Raw genomic sequence first — 21,206 nt, forward strand, 5'->3', positions numbered from 1 at the left:
GATGGGGTTTCTCCATGTTGGTCAGGCTTGTCTCAAACTCGTGACCTCAGGTGATCCGCCCACCTCAGCCTCTCAAAGTGCTGGGATTAAAGGCTTGAGCCACCGCGCCCGGCCCAGACTTTCAATCTCAGGTTTATACCACTGATTCTGGGTCTCAGGCCTTTGGGCTTGGATTGGAAGTGCACCACCAACTTTCCTGGGCCTGCAGTTTGCAGATGGCAGATCGTGGGACTTCTCAGCATCCATAATCTCGTGGCCAGTCCCTTGTAATAATAATAAATTTATATATCTCTATATATCCTATTGGTTGGTTTCTCTGAAGAACCCTAAGACACCATCATTCTGCAAATATCCTTGAGGCCTGCCAATTGTGGCTTCAGGGTTTAAGAAGACATGGTTCCCTCTTGAATTACAGGCAAGTAAACGAGATTACAAAACATTGACAAAGGCTTGGATCATGCTGTTGGACCTTTGCTTGAGCTGTTCACCGTCCGTTGTTACCTCTGTGAAGCTGACCCCAGGCCTAACCAAATGTTCCTTTTATGCTGTTCTGGGGACGTCTTCTGCATGTCACTTAACCACATAGTATCACACCTAGTTGGTTGGTTCTGCATTTTCCTTCCCCACTAGACCGCAAACTCTCAGCTGTTGTTGGTACTATTGAGCTTAAGTACAGGGCCTCAAAAGGAGCCGGAGTACAGGGCTAAGCGCTCAGTACACAGGGTACGAACCAATCAATGCAAGAATGAACGTGCCACCGGGTCTTGCAGGCTTGAGAAGTGTTTCTCCAAGCTGATTTTGCTTTCCGTGCCCGGGCAGCTCCCGTGAATTGCACGGTAGAGGTCAGGAGTTTCTGGGGGGTCCGTGGGGAGCCAATGGAAGGATGAGGAGAAATGCAGTCCCACCGCATTCGGGTTGCCCACGTCCGGCGAGAGGCGAGTGATCGGACAACTTCTGCACCTCCCGGAAGCGGCTGCGCCGGCCCCGCCCCTCCAGAGGCAGGCGTGGCCTCATGAATAATGAATCGTGCGGGGGAGGGGCCGGGCCCGCCCCTCCGGGCGGGAAGAGGGAAGCGCCGAGGCTGCCTGACTGGAATGAGGGTAGCTGCGGCGACTGCGGCGGCTGGAGCGGGGCCGGCCATGGCGGTGTGGACGCGGGCCACCAAAGCGGGGCTGGTGGAGCTGCTCCTGAGGGAGCGCTGGGTCCGAGTGGTGGCCGAGCTGAGCGGGGAGAGCCTGAGCCTGACGGGCGACGCCGCCGCGGCCGAGCTGGAGCCCGCTCTGGGACCCGCGGCCGCCGCCTTCAACGGCCTCCCAAACGGCGGCGGCGCGGGCGACTCGCTGCCCGGGAGCCCAAGCCGCGGCCTGGGGCCCCCGAGCCCGCCGGCGCCGCCTCGGGGCCCCGCGGGTGAGGCGGGCGCGTCGCCGCCCGTGCGCCGGGTGCGGGTGGTGAAGCAAGAGGCGGGCGGCCTGGGCATCAGCATCAAGGGCGGCCGCGAGAACCGGATGCCGATCCTCATCTCCAAGATCTTCCCCGGGCTGGCTGCCGACCAGAGCCGGGCGCTGCGGCTGGGCGACGCCATCCTGTCGGTGAACGGCACCGACCTGCGCCAGGCCACCCACGACCAGGCCGTGCAGGCGCTGAAGCGCGCGGGCAAGGAGGTGCTGCTGGAGGGTGAGCGGGGCCGGGCGGGAGGGTGGGCAGGCCGCGGCGGCCTGGGCTCGCGGGAGCTCACTTTGTTCCTGCCCCGCCGGCGGGGCGAGCCGGTTCTCTCCCCGTCTCTCTCCAAACCCGGGTTTCTGGAGCTTTCAGTGTGGAAAAACGGATGCTTCTTGCAGGAAAAGTTGGGCAGCCGCCGAAGTGTGGCTTGCAGCCCCTAGGGAAGACTCGGCTGAGATTGAGTAAAAAGCAGCTGCCTATGAAGCCCCACCTCGGCCCGATAAGCTGACACTAAGAACTTGAGGGAGAGCGAACGGCTCGAGTGGGTCTGTCTCCGTTTGCCCGCTGAGAAGTGCCGGGTTGGCGCTTAACTCACTCACCTCTGGCTCCTCGGGGCGGGCGGGTCTATTAAAAAAAAAAAAAAGTCCATCTTCACCGATGCCAGCGGTATGCTCGGGCAAACCACCAAAGCGCTGGTTAATTTATGGGAATTTAACCCATCATTGGCTCTCAACAATAACCAAAGGAGATCATAGCATTTCATTGAAGCCAGAAAGCTGAAACAGCAAGTCTGTGTGGTTAACGAACCTTGTTTAACAGTGGAGGCTCACGTGTTTGAACATTTACTGCCAACTAGAGTTTTGCCCCTTTTGCAAGTCTGCTGCCAGCTTCCTACCACTCACAGGCGCGCTGCTTCAAGACTCTTGGGGTTTTTGTAAGAAACTTGAAATGGCAAATCACAAGATAGGTTTCAATAACCAGGATTATTCTTTACGTTAAGTTATATGTATGTGATCTGTAAGTTGGATCTTTCATGATGAATTTGAACTAAGGCAAAAATAAAATTCCTCTCCTCTAAGGACTCATGCATGTTGGAGGTGATAGAGTATTGTAAATTATAAACGAAAAGTCAGCTGCTTTCTTCAGAAATTTTTGAGCGGTCAGCTTTCTTTCACTGGTGATTATGGCTAGCTGTGTTGAAAAGAATATAAAAGAAGATGCTGTCCCTACTTGGTCTCTAGTTGGAGAAATGATAGAAAAATGCAAAACAACTTATAGGGAGGAAAGGAATGAAGTTGGTGATTACGTCGTGAAACTATACTTAAATGCCAAAGGAATGCAAAGTTAGAAAATAGTTAGTGGAGATGGAATTAGCCAGGGAGGACTTTTTCCCGAAGCTGAATCTTGAGCCAGGTCTCCAAGAAGTGATGGACATAGGCAGGCAGGGATGAGTCAGGAGGGTATTCCTGGCAGAGGAAGGACAGAAGGGAAGGGCTGGGGGCTGCTGGTGAAGAAGGACCAATCGTCAAACCGAGAGGCCAGAAGTCCAACTTGGCACAATGGATTTTCACTTTCTTATAAATCAGCTTGTGAATATTTGGAAAAATACTGATTTACCAGAAATGATTTCATGTACACCAGTTGTGAAGTTCCAGTGTCCCACCTTTATAATATCCTATTTATAAACCTTATTTATATTGCATGTCTAGGTGGGGCTAGACATTGCTCGGAAATTAGTGTTAATAGAAGGAGTAAAATTATAGATTGTGGTTTGGGTGTGTGTCCAAAAAAAACTGTTACTCTAAACGTGTACCTTGAAGTTGGTCTAGCTAAGCATTTGGTTATAAATTCTTACATCCAGAATATTGAATTTAGTACTATTTATGTAGTCCTCAGTTGTGATGGGCAGACAGTTGAACCTTGTACACCATATTTAGAAAAAAAACACAAAAAACCTTTTGGCCAGGCGTGGTGGCTCATGCCTATAATCCCAGCACTTTGGGAGGCCAAGGTGGGCAGATCACCTGAGGTCAGGAGAACATGACGAAACCTCGTCTCTACTAAAAATACGAAAATTAGCCAGGCGTGGTGGCAGATGCCTGTAATCCCAGCTCCTAGGGAGGCTGAGGCAGGGGAATCGTTTGAACCTCAGAGGTGGAGGCTGCAGTGAGCCAAGATCTCACCACTGCACTCCAGCATGGATGCCCAGCCTGGATGACAGAGCAAGACTCCATCTCAAAAACAAACAACCAACCTACTTTTTGTATAGGTATAGTTTGAACCTAGTATTCAGACCAGTAAAATGAAAACCTTGCAGTAAATGCTTCCCAGTCTTTATTGGGCTAAAATAGGCCACGTGTGCTTTTAGAAAGATGGCCGCATAATAACATGTTTATTGAATGCCTTTTTACCTAACATGCAGGTTCTACTTTATTTTCCCACTTTGTACAAGACAAGCAGTTTTTGTTCTTATAAGTAGTGAGGAAGTCAATATAGTAGATTTACGACATTGCATTTTCAAGCCACTGGGTGTAAAAATAAAATTACTCAAAATATGTAAAACCACTGAAAACAATGATTTAATTGAACCAGTCAAACATTATTTAAAATTGAGAGCTGGTGTCCCATCCAGGTAGGCCACTTTTAAAAGACAGATTTTAAGTTTAGTCTTTAAAGTTTTCAGGCTGTACCATGTTGTCCTTCCATTAGATGTCTGAAAACTTGAAAAACTGCCGTATCATCTCACAGTGATGCTTTTTTGTGGTGTGGGCAGGGAATTTCAGGCACACTTTTGCCAATCCCACACCAGGGAAAGCTATAGTCTTTGGTTGCCTGTGGTTAAGGAATTGAGTTAAAAGTTTCCTTTTTATCTCAGGGATTTGCAGGAGTTATTTATTCATTCATCAGATATTTACTTAACTCTTAACTCATGCCAGAGGCACTTGAAGATACCTGATTCCTGTCCTCAGGAAGTTTAGAGTTGAGATGTGGGGAAACGGAGAAGTAAATAAGTACAGCAGAGGGCTAAAAGTGCTGTTTTAATAGAAGTTTGCACAACCCAAAGGAGACAGAGGTCTATATAGGTCCATCATGGGAATCAGAGGTTGAGGATGCCCAGGTTGATGAAGCTTAAATTGAGCTTCCCCTTTAGAAGAGAGCTGCCACCAGTAAAGACACAGAAGTGCAAGACATTAAAAAGCTATTCTAGCCAGTAGGGTAGAGTAGAAGCAAGGACTTTGTGGTCAGATGTGGGTTTGTTTCTGGCTAGTGGTTTGTAACCCCTAGGCAAGTTACTTAATCTTGCTAAGTAAACCTTAGTTTCCTCATCTGTAAAGCCAGGATGATAATAACACCTCCCTCAAAGTTGTTAATTCATTTTGCAATTCACGTGTTGAGTACTTTTTAAGGGACTGGGAATACAGCAATGAACAGCACAGGTCTGAATGAGGAAGGTAGGACCGGGTCACGAAGGTATGCCACCAGTTAACAAAGACACTCTCAAAACAGGAAGGATGGCAAGTCGTTAAAATAACATCCAGGGCTCCATTTTTACCTGAAGAAGAATAGATGATAAGAATTATTTTAGGTGATTAGGTTAAGAATGAGTTTGCGCTGGTCCGAGTGCAGTGGTGTTTACAACTAATTGATCACAACTAGTTACAGATTATTTGTTCCTTCTCCACTCTCACTGCTTCACTTGACTAGCTTTAAAAAAAAAAAAAGAAAGAAAGAAAAGAAAAGAGAAAAAAAGAAAAACCAAGTGTGGTGGCTCATGCCTGTAATCCAGCACTTTGGGAGACCAAAGCAGGAAGATCATTTGAGGCTGAGTTCGAGACAAGCCTGGGCAACATAGCAAGACCCTATCTGTACAAAAACTTCAAAAAAAAAAATAAATAAAACAATTAGCTGGGTGTGGTGGCATGCACCTGTAGTCCCAGCTACTCAGAGGCTGAGGTGGGAGGATTCTTGAGCCCAGGAGGTCGAGGCTACAGTGGTGATTGTGCCACTGTACTCCAGCCTGGACAACAGAGCAAGATCCTGTCTCAAAAAAAAAAAAAAAAAAAAAGCAAAGCCAGTAAGTAAAGTTGAATGAAATGTCCAAGAAAGGTTTTATTTACTGGTGTTTTTTTATTTTGTTTTGTTTTTGAGACAGAGTCTCACTCTGTTGCCCAGGCTGGAGTGCAGTGGTGCGATCTCAGCTCACTGCAAGCTCCGCCTACCGGGTTCACGCCATTCTGCTGCCTCAGCCTCCCAAGTAGCTGGGACTACAGGCGCCCGCCACCATGCCCGGCCAATTTTTTGTATTTTTTAGTAGAGATGGGGTTTCACTGTGTTAGCCAGGATAGTCTCAATCTCCTGACCTCGTGATCTGCCTGCCTCAGCCTCCCAAAGTGCTGGGATTACAGGCATGAGCCACCGCACCTGGCCTTGTTTTGTTTTAAATGGGAAAATAATTGGGACAGATTTGTATAGCAAGAGAAAAGCCCAACCAACAGAAAGAGTGAGAGGTTGAAGAGATAGAAGAGGTGGGAAACTGATGCAATTCATTTTTGATCCAGGAAGTGATGTGATGGGAACAGAATTTTGGGTTGGCAGCAGTGGAAGCACTGGATGCAGTGCAAAGAGGAAAGACCGAAGGTGGGAAAAACAGCAGCTGTTGTAGTGAAAAGTAATCCAAGCCAGAGGTGATCACCTTTGGAGCCGGTGGTGGTAGTGGCAGTGGGAATAGAGAGGAGGATTCAATTCAAGAGATACTTTAAAGCAGTTGATGCTTGTCAGGGGACATAGCAGAGTCCACTGAGAAGTTTTTCCTACCTAGATAGTCTCCTTCCAACTGCCTGTGCATCCAAAAATTTGATACTTACAGAGAATCTTCTGCAGTGAGTTTATCAGTGGAAAAGTGAAATAATTTGGAGAGTGTTACCCTCATACTGTTCAGCTTTGTTGTAAAGCACTTAAGCCATGTAACTGTCTGCTGTCTCTGGGGTTTGCGAAGAAAAATTTTAGTTTATAAACAGTATACTGTATCTGGTCACATGGAATGAGAACATATTCTTCCTTTAAAGGTTCTTTTTTCTAGATTAGAGAAAAGAGCTTTTGAATTCCTTTGGAGAAATGATGGTATGGTCAGTTATGTTTAATATTTTGTGCCTGGAGAAATACAATTGATTTGGTTACTTTATTTAAGTGTCTTTCTGAGGAAAATGCACTGATTCCTTAATAAAATTTGTGTTAGATTTTAGTGTAAAAACAAAACTCGTGAAATAATTTTATATATGAACAAAGTGCTAGTGATTATGGTGTCATAGATTTGCCTTTTAAAATAATAAAAGAAATATAAAATTCAAACTTGGCTTTATTTCTGACCCCCAAGACATTGCTAGAATGCTATAATTAGTTGAGAATATGTGAAATGCAATTTTCTTTTTGCTTTGGTTTTTCTACATTTTTCTTTTTGCTGTGTTCGGACCCTCTTGCTTTAAAATTTGTAAGTTATCTTGAATGTGTTATGGAAAGTAAACTTAATGAAATAGATGAGAAAGTTGAGCAGTGTATTTTTGAATTTAATCTGTCATGCATGTAAAATGTTACACCTAGGCAGGTGTGGTTGGTCATTCCTGTAATCTCAGCACTTTGGAAGGCAGAGGCAGTAGGATCACTTGAGGCCAGGAGTTCAAGATCATCCTGGTCAACCTAGTGAGACCCCATCTGTATTTTAAAAATGAAAAAAAAAAAAGTTACACCTTACACTTAGAAAAATTGGAAGCTTTAATTTTTCATTGAAAGAGACTCAGATGGTATAGACTTTTTTTTTTTTTTTTTTTTTTTTTTTTGAGACAGTGTCTTGCTCTGTTGCTCAGGCTGGAGTGCAGAGGCACCATCTCGGCTCACTGCAACCTCCGCCTCCTGGGTTCAAGAAATTCTCCTGCCTCGGCCTCCCAAGTAGCTTGGATTACTGGTGTGTGCCACCGTGCCTGGCTAATTTTTGTATTTTTAGTAGAGACAGGGTTTCTCCATGTTGGCCAGGCTGGTCTCAAACTCCTGACCTCAGGTGATCCGCCTGCCTCGGCCTCCCAAAGTGCTGGGATTACAGGTGTGAGCCACCATGTCCAGCCCAGACTTATTTATGGTAAGATGAATTGATCAACTAACAAAAATTTTAAAAAAGAAAGAAAATGCACATGCCTTATTCAAGGCTCTTTGGGTTTCAAAACACAGAAACCCATTTAAACTAGTTCAGATAAAAGGATGGAGATGTTATAAAGAACCAGACAGGTCTCGGGACTTCAGGAAGAGCTGCGCCTCAGAAATGTCACAAACCCAAGGCAGTGCTGAGGACAGTTGCTCTGTCTCCCATTTCTTGTCATTGCAGTTTCTCTGTTTCTCTCTGAGAATGTCTTTTGCAACAGCTTTATTCTAGTCCTTTTATGGTTTCAATTCTTACATTTAACTTCTTAATCTATGTAGAATTTATTTTGGCATATGGTATGCAGTAGAGGTTTAACTTTATTTGTTTTTCCAAATAGTTAACTGATTGCCTCAGTATTATTTGTCAAATAATCCTCTTGCATGCTTAGTCTGATAGCTTGCTGGTGGCTGCCTAGAGTGCCATATGTGGAAGGATTCAAGGCCATATCTGGGTTCAGCAGTAGCAAGTGCTATGCTTAATTAGTGATATCTGCAATGAGTGTGCCTGAGGATGGGGTGCAATATGCATGCTATACATCTGCCCCTCTTGGGATGAGATGACCTGTCCTTTTCTCATTGATTTTAAATATACCTTTTTGAATAGCACTTTTTATATTCTCTGCTCTGATTCTGGAGTTTCTATTGTATTCCATTTTAGTGTTTTGTAACATACCACACTGTATTTTGTAGCTGTAACATTTAATATCTGGTAATTCAAGTGGACTGTACCAGCCAAGAAAAATTTGAAAAGTAACAATAGACAATTGCCGGCTGGTATAGTATAGTTACTTATTTCCCCAGATAAATTTTGGAATGATTTTATCATTCTTAAATCCTCTGGGATTTTGATTAAAATTATATTAAATCCATAAATTAATTTGGAGAGAACTGATGTCTTTGTAATATCTCTTTCCCAGTCATTCCAGCCAAAAATACTGGGCCTTACTCATCCATGTTCCAATCATGTGGCTGAGGGGTACCAGATGTTCTATTTGGCCAGGCCTATATCAGGTCACCTCAGACCTGTACCCAGGGAATGGGGCAATTTTCCTAGAACCACATGGACTGAAAGTGGGGGTTTCTCAAAGGAGAATTAAGGTGATGTTAACAGAAGAAGGGGGAATGGATGCTAGGCAGGCATAAATAGCAGACATTCATTACATTGCTCTAAAACCATCAGAAGATAATATAGATTAAAGGAGAAACCACCATATTAAGAGATTTAGAAACATTATAGACAGCTGTAAAACAAAAGTCAGAATAATAAATTTGCTTAGGTACAGGTGAGCTTGTTGGAGCTTTTAAAAAATGCTTGACATGTCAAGTGAATAATAAATTATTTTCAGTATTTTATTGGTATTTTGAACATCACATTTCTATGAATTTCAAGCAAGTTTGTAACTGCATTGAGATCATATTTTTATAGGTAGAACAACAAAAGTATATAGAGCTCAACAAAAGTATATAGAGCTCAGGGGCAGCTTTTGAAGTCAGAGACGGAGAAAAATCTTTGTTTATCAAAATAGACGTATATGATTTATTTTTAATTTTTAAAAAGTATCTATTTGTTGTTATTATTTTTTTTTAGAGACAGGGTTTCACTCTGTTGCCCAGGTTGGAGTACAATGGCATGATCATTGCTTACTGCAGCCCTGAACTCTTGGGCTCAGGTGATCCTCTTGCCTTAACCTCTGGAGTAGTTGGGATTACAGGCATGAACTAATTACTGTTCCTGGTTTGCATTTTTTTTTTTTTTTAGTAAGAATTATTTTGGTTGCAGAAACCCAAAACCAACTAATTTAAGCAGAAGTGGAATGTATTGCCTTATGTAACTCCTGAGACCGGGGGTGGATCTAGGTTTAGGTTCAGTGGGATCCAAAGGCTCAAATTATCTTGGCTGCAACATCTCCTGCTGTGGAGGGTCTAATTCTGTATAGTCAGCTAAGATGGTGCCTGCAGCTCTAGGAACATATTGCCTTAACTTAATAACTAACCCCTGTAAGAAAAACTGGAGGGTTCTTTTACCACTCACATTATCAGTTTGGAGATAGGAAGGACTCCAATAGTTCTGCTTTGCCAGTTCCTCGGACCTATCACTATTACCAAAATGATGGAGACTGCAATCTAGACCTGTGTCACGTGCCCATCCCTTGTGTATTGAGGTTGGCAGCCTCACCAGACTATAAAATCTGGAGTGGGGTGGTTGCTAGGTTAACTTATGTACACTATAACAGGCTATAGGGCTTAAAATAATTTTGGCCGGGCATGTTGGCTCACACCTGTAATCCCAGCACTTTGGGAGGTCCAGGTGGAATCACTTCAGCCTAGTAGTTCAAGACCAGCCTGCACAACATGGCGAGACCCTGTCTCTACAAAACATGTAAAAAATTAGCCAGGTGAGGTGGCGAGTGCCTGTGGTCCCAGCTACTTGGGAGGCTGAGGTGGGAGGATCACTTGAGCTCGGGAGATTGAGGCTGCAGTGAGCCATGTTTGAGCCACTATACTCCAGCTTGGGCAATGGAGCAAGACCCTGTCTCAAAAAGAGAAAAAACAAAAGTGGCTAAGTTGTACATTTTTAAAAACAAAAGGAATCAAAATAGATAATAATGACACTTATGGAGAGCTTACTCTGCTAAGCTCTTTATGATCACAACTTTGTTTTTCTTTTCTTTTTCTTTTTTTTTTTTTTTTGAGATGGGGTTTGGCCCTGTCACCCAGGCTGGAGTGTAGTGGTGTGATCTCGGCTCACTGCAACCTCTGCCTCCTGGGTTCAAGCGATTCTCCTGCCTCAGCCTCCTGAGTAGCTGGGATTACAGACACGCGCTACCATGCCCGGCTAATTTTTGTATTTTTAGTAGAGATGGAGTTTCACCATATTGGTCAGGCTGGTCTCGAACTCCTGACCTTGTGATCTGCCCACCTTGGCCTCCCAAAGTCCTGGGATTACAGGCGTGAGCCACCGCACCTGGCCACAACTTATTCTTTTAACAGCCCTGTGAGTCAGGTGGCATCATCCCCATATAAAATATAAATAAATTGAGTCCTGGAAGATTAAACAGTCAGTGCAAGGTTATAGAATTTGTAGGTGATAGAGGCAAGATTAGTTACTCAGATTTATCAAACTACACAGCCTTTGATATTAACCATTATAATAGACTGCCTCTCTGGTGGATCAGTTTGGGTTAAGAAGCTAGCAAGTCTAAAGACAGGATTTATTGTTATGATTGGCTTAATTTTCAGGAAAATTGTGCTTTGGATTCTGTGTTGTTGCATCTATCTGGAGGTTATCCAGTTAATGTCTCTCAGTCTTTTCCTCATTTTTTTTTTTCATGCTGGACCTAAAGCTGTATGTAATTAATCAACTCATATTGAATAACTACACTCTGTTAGACACTCTGAGAGAAATAGAATATGTAAGCCCCAAAGATTTTACTTTTAAGAAGTACCCAAAATGGGTTTGTAAATACTAATAAACTGCACATAAGTGAATCCAAAGTATTTCATACATTATAAGTGGTAGACAAATGCTGAGAGAACTTGGAATAAGTGAGCAAGTAGTAGGAATGTATTTTGGGTCAAGTGAGAGAAGGGTGGGACATGGAATAGGTGTGGGTGGTGGGAAGGATGGAGGGCATGTTTAGAGGGGAAAGGCATGTCTAGAGAGCAAAGACTGGAACAAGCAGTGATGTTCAAACTTCAGCAAACAGATTTGATGAAATAGCCCATTTTCAAGGCTCTGTACCCCTTTTTAAAAATAGTTTAAATATTTTATTAGTAATATAACTGACTTCTGAAATATCTTGTAATAATTGTATTCATTATCTGCAAACTGTTTTGTAATGTAAAAATTAATTTTTCTTTTGTAATTATTCTAGCCAAACTTTTTTGTTACTGCTTTTACTTTTGATATATTACTATGTTATTTTACTTTTGGAAAACACCAGTTTTAACAAAGTAGCATTCTCCAAAGTATATTCATCTTTACAAGTAAATCTTTGCCCAAATGAAACAAAATCTGTTTTACTGAACACTAAATGTCTTTGATTTGCCTCATTTTGCTGTAATTGTTGGCCAGTAAAAGTATTTACATTGTTAGCTCTGTTTTCATTGCAGTAAGGGATGGCAACATTTTAGAAAACCACTAGTAGTGTAGATAATTTTTTTGAGTACTATGGATTCTGTATTGTCTCTTCAAAGATTATTAATTACATTCTAGGATAAAAATACATATTTTTTACAATGAACACAAAGTAATTGAAAAAATTAAACTGGCTCTGGGCAAATACAAATTCTGCTAAAAACAGCAATGAAAGACTAAAGTGAATTCTGGAAACCATTCTTCACCAGAGATGTTTTGATATTGATCTCTGTTGTCCTTTACAATGTAACAGAGTTGATTTTTTTTTTTTTTTTTTTTGGGGGGTAGGGGAACAGAGCCTCGCTCTGTCGCCTAGGCTGGAGTGCAGTGGCAATCTCAGCTCACTGCAACCTCCACCTCGCGGGTTCAAGCGATTCTCCTGCCTCAGCCTCCTGAGTAGCTGGGACTACAGTCCTACACCACCACGCCCAGCTAGTTTTTTGTACTTTTGGTAAGACAGGGTTTCGCCATGTCGCCCAGGCTGGTCTTGAACTCTTGAGCTCAGGCAATCCACCAGCCTCGGCCTCCCAAAGTGCTGGGATTACAGATGTGAGTCCTCATGCCTGGCCTATTTTTCACATGTGTATTTTTGACAAGAGAAATGTCTTCATTGCACGTTCTGCCTCTGCTTCTCTTTAAGGAGTTTGTGTGTGGTTGGTAGGAAGATGTAGTCCATTCTTATTCCTCTACCACTTACATGTTTCCTCCCATTATTCTCTTTATTTCTCATATCCTCTCCTACTTCTTCTGTGCTTGGGTCTGAAAAGAAATCTTTGAGATTGTTAAGACATCTCCAAACATCTGGATGTAGTTACAAAAATTACCTGATTTTTCTTGGGAAAAAATACAGCAAAACATTTCGGATGGCTGTTAACTTTGTGTGACCTTGGCAAAAAATAATTTCAGCATTATAAGCAGTATGTTTCTTACCTATTAAAAATAAGATCCCTTCCAGCTCATATTTTACAATTCTAAATATGAAATAGAGAATGAAGAGTTAATATGAACTGACTGTACGCAAATGCATGGATTGTCAGAGATTTAGAATATAATAATGTTTTTTTTTTTTTTTTTTTGAGACAGTTTCACTCTTGTTGCTCGGGCTGGAGTGCAATGGCACGATCTCGGCTCACTGCAACCTCTGCCTCCCAGGCTCAAGTGATTCTCCTGCCTCAGCCTCCCGAGTAGCTGGGATTACAGGCGCACGCCACCATGTCCAGCTAATTTTGTATTTTTAGTAGAGATGGGTTTCTCCGTGTTGGTTAGGTAGGTCTTGAACTCCTGACTTCAGGTGATTCACCCGCCTTAGCCTGCCAAAGTGCTGGGATTACAGGCGTGAGCCACCACGCCTGGCCTATAATAATGATTTTTAACACTAAAAATATTTTAGCTATAATTGAATCTTAGTTTGATGATTCAGATGGAACCTCAAGATTTACAATACCTTATTGTGAGCTTCATTTGTTGTGCTAAAGATGTGAAGTGCCAGATAAAATATTTTATGTTGTAGATTTGCAGATAAATCGGCTTTTGCTCTTCCACCTTTCATTTTAACTAGCAGCTAATCGCCTTCAAATCTACACAGGCAGCATTAATTAAAGCGATGTTGGCCTGGCGCAGTGGCTCACGCCTGTAGTCCCAGCTAGTTGGGAGGTTGAGGTGGGAGGATCACTTGAGCCTGGGAGGTGGACGCTTTGGTGAGCCATGATTGCACCACTGCACTCCAGGTCTGGACAACAGAGTGAAACACTGCCTCAAAAAAAAAAAAAAAAGGCGATCTTTTTCTCTTAAGCGCAGATGAATCACTTAGCAAAGAGAGAAATATTGAGCAATCTAGATTGCAGTTAATTTTGTCACTGATTATTGTGTACCTTGAGGTGTCTTCATTTGTTCTTTAGTGAATGGGCAAGACTCTCATAATGAAGATTTGCAATCTTAATGAAAATTGAAAAAAAAGGCCAAAGTTTAAGACTTAGATGCCAAATAATTCCTTCCACTTTTTAGTGTGAAAAATCAGGAGAAAGGGGGACTTTTAAAAAATGTTTTATTTTAGATCCATGCTATTACTGGGAAGACAGAGACTTTTTTTTTTTGAGACAGAATCTCCCTCTGTCGCCCAGGCTGGAGTGCAGTGGCACGATCTCAGCTCACCGCAACCTCCATCTCCCGGGTTCAAGCGATTCTCCTGCCGCAGCCTCTTGAGTAGCTAGGACTACAGATGCGTGCCACCACACCCAGCTAATTTTTTGTATTTTTAGTAGAGATGGGGTTTCACCGTGTTAGCCAGGATGGTCTCAATCTCCTGACCTCGTGATCCGCCTGCCTCGGCCTCCCAAAGGAGGGGGACATTTTTAACATAAATATACTTATTTGTGTTGGCCATTGTTGTCAAGCACATTTGCTTACAGTGAGTTTAGGAATTTAGATATTAGGCGTATTTTGACAAAATGGGGAATCAATTTCTTTTACAGAAATGTAATACCTATTTCTTAGCATCAGCACGCTAGTATGAAATTATTTTTCTGTCAGGCATTCTACTCCTCCAGACTGTACCATCCTTCCACTAGAAGGGTGGAATACACATCAGATTACAGGTATGAATGCTTTTGGAATATGCTTTATTTTTCAGGCCCATGGGTTGAAATACAAGAAAAACAACACATTCGTGATACATCAAATTTAGGATATAACTGCTAGAGCAGGAGGAAGATAAATGGCGTCAAGGAGAGGTTCATGGGGGTTTTTTGTTAGTGAAACTGAGAATGTTAACAGTGATAAAATTGAGTACATGAGTTTTCATTATATTGTACTATGTTTTGTTTCGTTTATTTATTTTATTTTTGTTTTGTTTTTAAATAGAGATGGGGGTCTTGCTACAATGTCCAGGCTGGTCTTGAACTCCTAAGCTCAAGTCATCCTCCAGCCTTGGCTTCCCAAATTTCTGGGATTACAGGTGTGAGCCACCGAGTCTGGCCCTGTGATCCATCTTGAAGTAATGTTTGTATATTGACTCTATTTTTGTTTGCTTTTACTTTACCCTCACCTGACTGATAAAGTTGAGAGATCCTCATTATTTTCTTCTTGTGGGGTAATGGCAGAAGACTGCTCTGTAACTTTTACCAAACACTTTACCGAGTTGCTGCAGCCAATTCGTTTATATGTCACTGAAAACTCAGACAAATCGAGTCATTTCTCTGCTTTTTAAAATAATTACTCCTCATCACACTTTCAGGGCCTCCAGGGGCCTGGTTTGAAAGCAGAACATTCAGGAAAGCCATAGGAAAACAGCATCCTGGCTTAAAAGTTACCACCTGAAATAATAAATATTACATGTGAACAGATGCTTATTTAATGGATTTTGATGGCTTCTTTACCTTTTATTTAAGCACCTTGTATATTGCTAGCATTGAAATAGTATTAATGTCACTGAACTAGAAGGACTCCTCATTAACACCAATAAATGGGAGAGAATGCACTAAGCCAAAAAGTTGCCATCTTATAACTTGTAAAACTCTCTTAAATGTAGATCTGTATTTAAAGCAGCAGGCCAACTTATTTATGTGATGTTGATGTGGTGCTGAATAGGAAAAAACATAGCAAAATGGAAAGGATTAGGGAGGCGGGGACATAAAATCCTTTAATACTGCTTAGTAAGGTATTTTATCCATTTGAAGAAATCTAAAATTCTTTATGAAAGAGATGTGTGTTTAAAATTGAGGGTGGGTAACGTTGCTAAATCATTGGGTGTTAGCCAGGTTTGGATACAGTGTACAGCTGAAAGGAATGTTAATTTTGTTAGATTATTGTCAACAATACTTCTCAGAAAACAAAACAAAAAGCCCAGAGCAAACCAAAAAACCAAAAATGTTTGAGAAATTATTCTCAGATTGTCAGAAAAAAGAGTTTGAATAGTTATTTTAGATTTCGTATTTGGAGGGTAATAATTTTGAGTTTGGTTAAAACATGAGAATTCAATAGTATTATTATTATTTTTTTTGAGTGCCTCTAAAATTGTTAATTGTCCTCTTCTTCTGTGCTTCATACCTGGATGGAAAATTGCTTCAGGATATCAGTCTGCATGTCTGGAGAAACGAATGCTGCTTAGTTTAGGAGCAGACCAGTGAAGCAACACAAGCTGATAGGGCCCTGACTCATTCTCCTTGTTTACACCTGATGTTTAGCTCATCTGCACCTATAATTTCAGCCATTACCTGAGTGTCTGTGATGTTTAGCTGTACCTTTTTGTCCCCAGCCTTTCAGTTATCCCTTCACATTTAACCGTGACTGAGGCAAACTTCTTTGCAGTCACTTACTGTTTAATGAAGGGGCTAGAGTTTCTGGCCCTGTCTCCTCTGTTCTCTGACTTGGAGGCTTTCTCATTGTTCATGTGCTTCCTAACTTTCATCTTAAGGCTTATAAAGAAAACAAGGAGTAACTCCTCACATGTCCCTAGTTAGTAGGCATTACTTTGAACAAACATACATTCTTAGTTTATAATGGAAAATAGTATGGTAGTTACTATTCATACTAAATGTAGGCTGTGAACTTTATGAACTGTTAGAATTTTTTTTTTTCTTTTTTGAGATAGGGTTTCACTCTGTTACCCAGGCTGGAATGCAGTGGCATGATCATATCTTACTGCAGCCTCCATCTCCCAGGCTCAGGTGATCCTCCCACCTCAGCCTCCTGAGTAGCTGGGATTACAGACACACACTACCACATTCAGTAATTTTTTTTTTATTTTTTATTTTTTTGAGACGACGTCTCGCTCTGTCTCCCAGGCTGGAGTGCAGTGGCATGATCTTGGTTCACTGCAACCTCTGCCTCCCGGGTTCAAGCAATTCTCGTGCTTCAGCCTCCCAGGTAGCTGAGACTACAGGCATGTGCCACCACGCCTGGCTAATTTTTGTATTTTTAGTAGAGATGGGGTTTCGCCATGTTGGCCAGGCTGGTCTCGACCTCCTGGCCTCAAGTGATCTGCCCGCCTCAGCCTCCCAAAGTATTGGGATTATAGGCGTGACCCAGCACGCCTGGCCACATCTGATAAATTTTGTATTTTTTGTAGATACAGGGTTTTGCCATGTTTCCCAGGCTCATCTTGAACTCCTGGCCTTAACTGATCCTCCTACCTTAGCCTCCCAAAGTTCTAGGATTAAAGGTGTGAGCCACTGTGCACAGCCTGTTTTCTTTTTTTTTGAGACAGAGTCTCGCTCTTGTTGCCCAGGCTAGAGCTCAGGGGCGCGATCTCAGCTCACTGCAACCTCCATCTCCCGGATTCAAGCAATTCTCCTGCCTCAGCCTCCTAGTAGCTGGGATTACAGGCGCCCACCACCACGCCTGGCTAATTTTTGTACTTTTAGTAGAAATGGGGTTTTGCCGTGTTGGCTAGGCTGGTCTCGAACTCCTGACCTCAGGTGATCTGCCCACCTCAGCCTCCCAAAGTGCTGGGATTACAGGCGTGAGCCACTGCGCCCAGCGTTTTTGTTATTGTTGTTTTGTTTTGTTTATTTTAAGAGACAGGGTCTCACTCTGTCTCCTGGGCTGGAGTGCACTGGCATGATTATAGCTCACTGTAACTAGTTTTGACCTCCTGACCTTAAGCAATCCTCCTGCCTTAGCCTCTCGAGTAGCTGGAATTAGTGGTACATGTCACCATGCCTGGCTAATTTTTTAATTGTTTTGCAGAGACAGGATATTGCTCTGTTGCCCAGGCTTGCCTTGAATTTCTGGCCTCAAGTGATCCTCCTACCTAAGCCTCCCAAAGTGCTGGGATTACAGACTGAGCCACTGTGTGTGGTTCTGGAATTTTTACAGATAGTATTAACCTTTGGATTTTTGCCTTTCTTTTCCATTTAAAACAGTTTCCATAAACCCTCCCTTTCCCTTTTTTATTGCAGTGGGAATCCATTGCTTGTTTATTAATAATAATAATAATTCTTATTTTTGAGGCGGAGTTTCACTCTTCTTGCCCAGGCTGGAGTGCAATGGCACGATCTCAGCTCACTGCAACCTCCGCCTCCCAGGTTCAAGCGTTCTCCTGCCTCAGCCTCCCAATTATTATTATTATTTCTGAGATGGAGTATTGCTCTGTCGCCCAGGCTGGAGCGTAGTGGCGCGATCCCGGCTTACTGCAACCTCCACCTCCCAGGTTCAAGCAATTCTCCTGCCTCAGCCTCCCAAGGAGCTGGAATTACAGGCACCCGCCACCACGCCTGGCTAATTTTTGTATTTTTAGTGGAGCCGGAGTTTCACCATGTTGGCCAGGCTGGTCTCGAACTTCTGACCTCAAGCGATCCACCAGCCTCAGTTTCCCAAATGCTGGGATTACAGGCGTGAGCTACTGTGCCTGGCCAGAATCTATTATTTATTGAGAACTTCCTCTTAATATTGTCTGATCAGCTAAAGACTGGTGAGTACTCTTCTTCACTTGTAGTATGAGGAAGCAGAAGTGAACAGCACTGCTGCTCAGCTGCAGTTGCTTCCATAGGCTTGCTAGAAGCACCAGAAGTCTCCCACTGGGCACCAGAATCTTTGGGTTGTGTGCCATCAGGTCTTATTCCATATATGGAATATTATTGCTCCTCAAAAGAAAAACATGTTGAGACAGTAGTTATTAAGAAGTCAGGCTTTGCCACAATCCCTTTTAAATACAGTACCTCAGGCCTTTCCCAACATGAATTTTAAATTCTTTCAGAATCACAAATTTTTCACAAGGACAGATGATTCATTAATTTTGCTTTGTGGAAAGAAAAGATCTCAAGTTAATTTCCACAACCTAAATGAATTGACTGTGGAGTTTAAGCTCTGGGAAAACTAAAACATACTAAGAACATTGAGTTTTAAATGGAAGCAAGATATTTTCAGTTGATCTGCCAGTGTATGGAAATCTGCAGCATTTGCCCCTTCAGTACCATCTATCCCAATTGCATAGTCTGTGGCCTACATGAGTATTTTTCCACTCCAGTTTGCCACATCTTTCTTGGCATCAAATTACTTTTCTACTTAAATGAAATTGCTAGTTTAACCACTGGTGAATGCACTCATGGAAGTGAAAATGAAAACTATTTATTCAAGAGTTTCAGTAATGTTACTGCTGTGTGCATTGCATATGACCATAGTATTTTTATACTGATGATCTTTGTTTCCCTAATGTTATATTTTAAGTTGGCTGTGTATGCAGAGTAGAACTCCTTAGCAAACAAGAGTCCTCATACACATGACCCAATTTACTTCCCTAGACTTTAAGGGAGGAAATGTTGTGTACTTTGTGTACAGTTGCCCTCAATTTCATCCTGGGAAATACTTTGTTAACAGAATTCTTTTTTTTTTTTTTTGAGACTTGCTCTGTCACCCAGGCTGGAGTGCAGTGGTGCGATCTCAGCTTACTGCAACCACCACCTCCTGGGTTCAAGCAATTCTCCTGCCTCAGCCTTCCAAGTAGCTAGGACTACAGGCACGCGCCACCACGCTTGGCAAATTTTTTTTTTTTTTTTTTTTTTTAATTATACTCTAAGTTTTAGGGTACATGTGCACATTGTGCAGTAGAGACGGGGTTTCACCACGTTGGCCAGGCTGGTCTCAAACTCTTGACCTTGTGATTCGCCCACCTCAGCCTCCCAAAATGCTGGGATTACAGGTGTGAGCCACCTTGCCCAGCCCAACAGAATTCATATTTAACAGATACCTCTTGTGGCCCCTTGTAAGGCAAGAATAAAGGTCTTCAGTTTTAGTTTCTTTCCTTCCCTCTCTTGTCCATTGATCCCTGGATTTGTGTTCTGGCATCCTGTTTAGTGGGCATGACATAATGGCTTTTTCTTCTATTTTCTTTCCCATTTTCTCTTTCCTTCATTAGGCATTTCCAACCTGCTTCTTTCATATTTCTCACATATGGCCCCCTAGTGATCCCAGACAAAGAAGTCTAAGGTTCTGGTAACTTTAGATGGATTTGAAAGAGGAAAAGGTGGAATAGATAACTTTTCCTGAAATAAAACAGAAGTTTCTAATAATGCTTCTTAAAAATACTTAAATGCAACCAATGTATTATTAAAAATAACCCACTGTACGTTCATGAAATCCTTTCCATTGAGGTCCTATACTCAGCTATGTGCTTGTTAGGAAGTGATGGGAATGTAGGAACTCTTTGCTCCCACTTTTTTGTTGTTGTTGTCAAAGGCAAGGCTGGGCCTTGCTCTGTCTACCCTGGCTGGAGTGCAGTGGTGCGATCATAGCTCACAGCATCCTCTAACTCCTGGGCTCAGGAGATTTTCCCGCCTTAGCCTCCCAAGAAACGAGAATTACAGGAGCGTGCCACCACTTGGCTAATTAAAAAAAGTTTTTTTAGTAGAGACAGGGTTCTCACTATGTTGCCTAGGGTGGTCTCGAACTCTTGGGCTCAAGTGATCCTTCTGCCTCAGCCTCCCAAGGAGCTGGAATTACAGGCATGAGTCACTGTTCCCTGCCTCCTTCTACCTTTTAGCTTTTTGTTTAGCGATCATTATTACTCTTCTCTCCAGTAGATATACTATTTGATCAAGATGTGGGTAATTAGTCTCTAATTTCCCTACAAGAAAATATTTTCTAGGCCAGGCGCGGTGGCTCACGCCTGTAATCCCAGCACTTTGGGAGGCCAAGGTGGGTGGATCGGGAGTTCGAGACCAGCCTGACCAACATGGAGAAACCCTATCTCTACTAAAAATACAAAATTAGCCGGGCGTGGTGGTGCATGCCTGTAATCCCAGCTACTCAGGAAGCTGAGGCAGGAGAATCGCTTGAACCTGGAAGGTGGAGGTTGCTGTGAGCCAAGATCACTCCATTGCACTCCAGCCTGGGCAACAAGAGCAAAACTCCATCTCAGAAAGAAAAAAAAAAAAAGAAAATATCTTCTATAAGCCTTTGTTAATAAGGAATTGGCTGCATTTTTATTTTTATATACTTATTTTTTTTGAGACAGAGTTTTGCTCTTGTTGCCCAGGCTGGAGTGCAGTGGCGCAATCTCAGCTCACTGCAACCTCCACCTCCCAGGTTCAAGTGATTCTCCTGCCTCAGCATCCCTGGTAGCTGGGACTACAGGCGCCTGCCACCATGCCCAACTAATTTTTTGTATTTTTAGTAGAGATGGGGTTTCACCATGTTGGCCAGGCTGGGCTTGAACTCCTGATCTCAGGTGATCCACCTGCCTCAGCCTCCCAACGTGCTGGGATTACAGGCATGAGCCACACTGCGCCTGGCCTTGCATTTTTATTCTTTCAAAATATGAAAGGAATTCTTAGAGGCTTTAAAGTATAGATTTTCCTTTTCTTTTCTTTTCTTTCTTTCTTTTTTTTTTTTTTTTGAGAGATGGTGTCTTGCTCTGTCGTTCAGGCTGGAGTGCAGTGGCGCAATATCGGCTCACTGCAACTCCACCTCACTGGTTCAAGTGATTCTCCTGCCTCGGCTTCCC

At 42.8% G+C, this 21,206-nt stretch overlaps 1 protein-coding gene across 4 annotated transcripts in view; it reads left to right on the forward strand.

The window, feature by feature from the left end:
* Positions 1-1,091: 1,091 nt before the first annotated feature.
* SNTB2 (syntrophin beta 2) overlaps positions 1,092-21,206 on the forward strand; it is a 121,889-nt gene continuing 101,774 nt past the window's right edge. For 3 of the 4 annotated variants that reach the window (NR_172088.1, NR_172090.1, NM_006750.4), the window contains exon 1: positions 1,092-1,674. Coding sequence is in view for 1 of the 4 variants with exons in the window: in NM_006750.4 (NP_006741.1) it covers positions 1,095-1,674 (580 nt within the window). In the remaining 3 variants the exon portion in view is untranslated. The remainder of the gene's footprint in view (positions 1,675-21,206) is intronic. The other variant, NR_172089.1, reaches the window with a different exon arrangement.

This window comes from Homo sapiens, chromosome 16, assembly GCF_000001405.40.
Source record: "Homo sapiens chromosome 16, GRCh38.p14 Primary Assembly".
Lineage (NCBI taxonomy): Eukaryota > Metazoa > Chordata > Mammalia > Primates > Hominidae > Homo > Homo sapiens.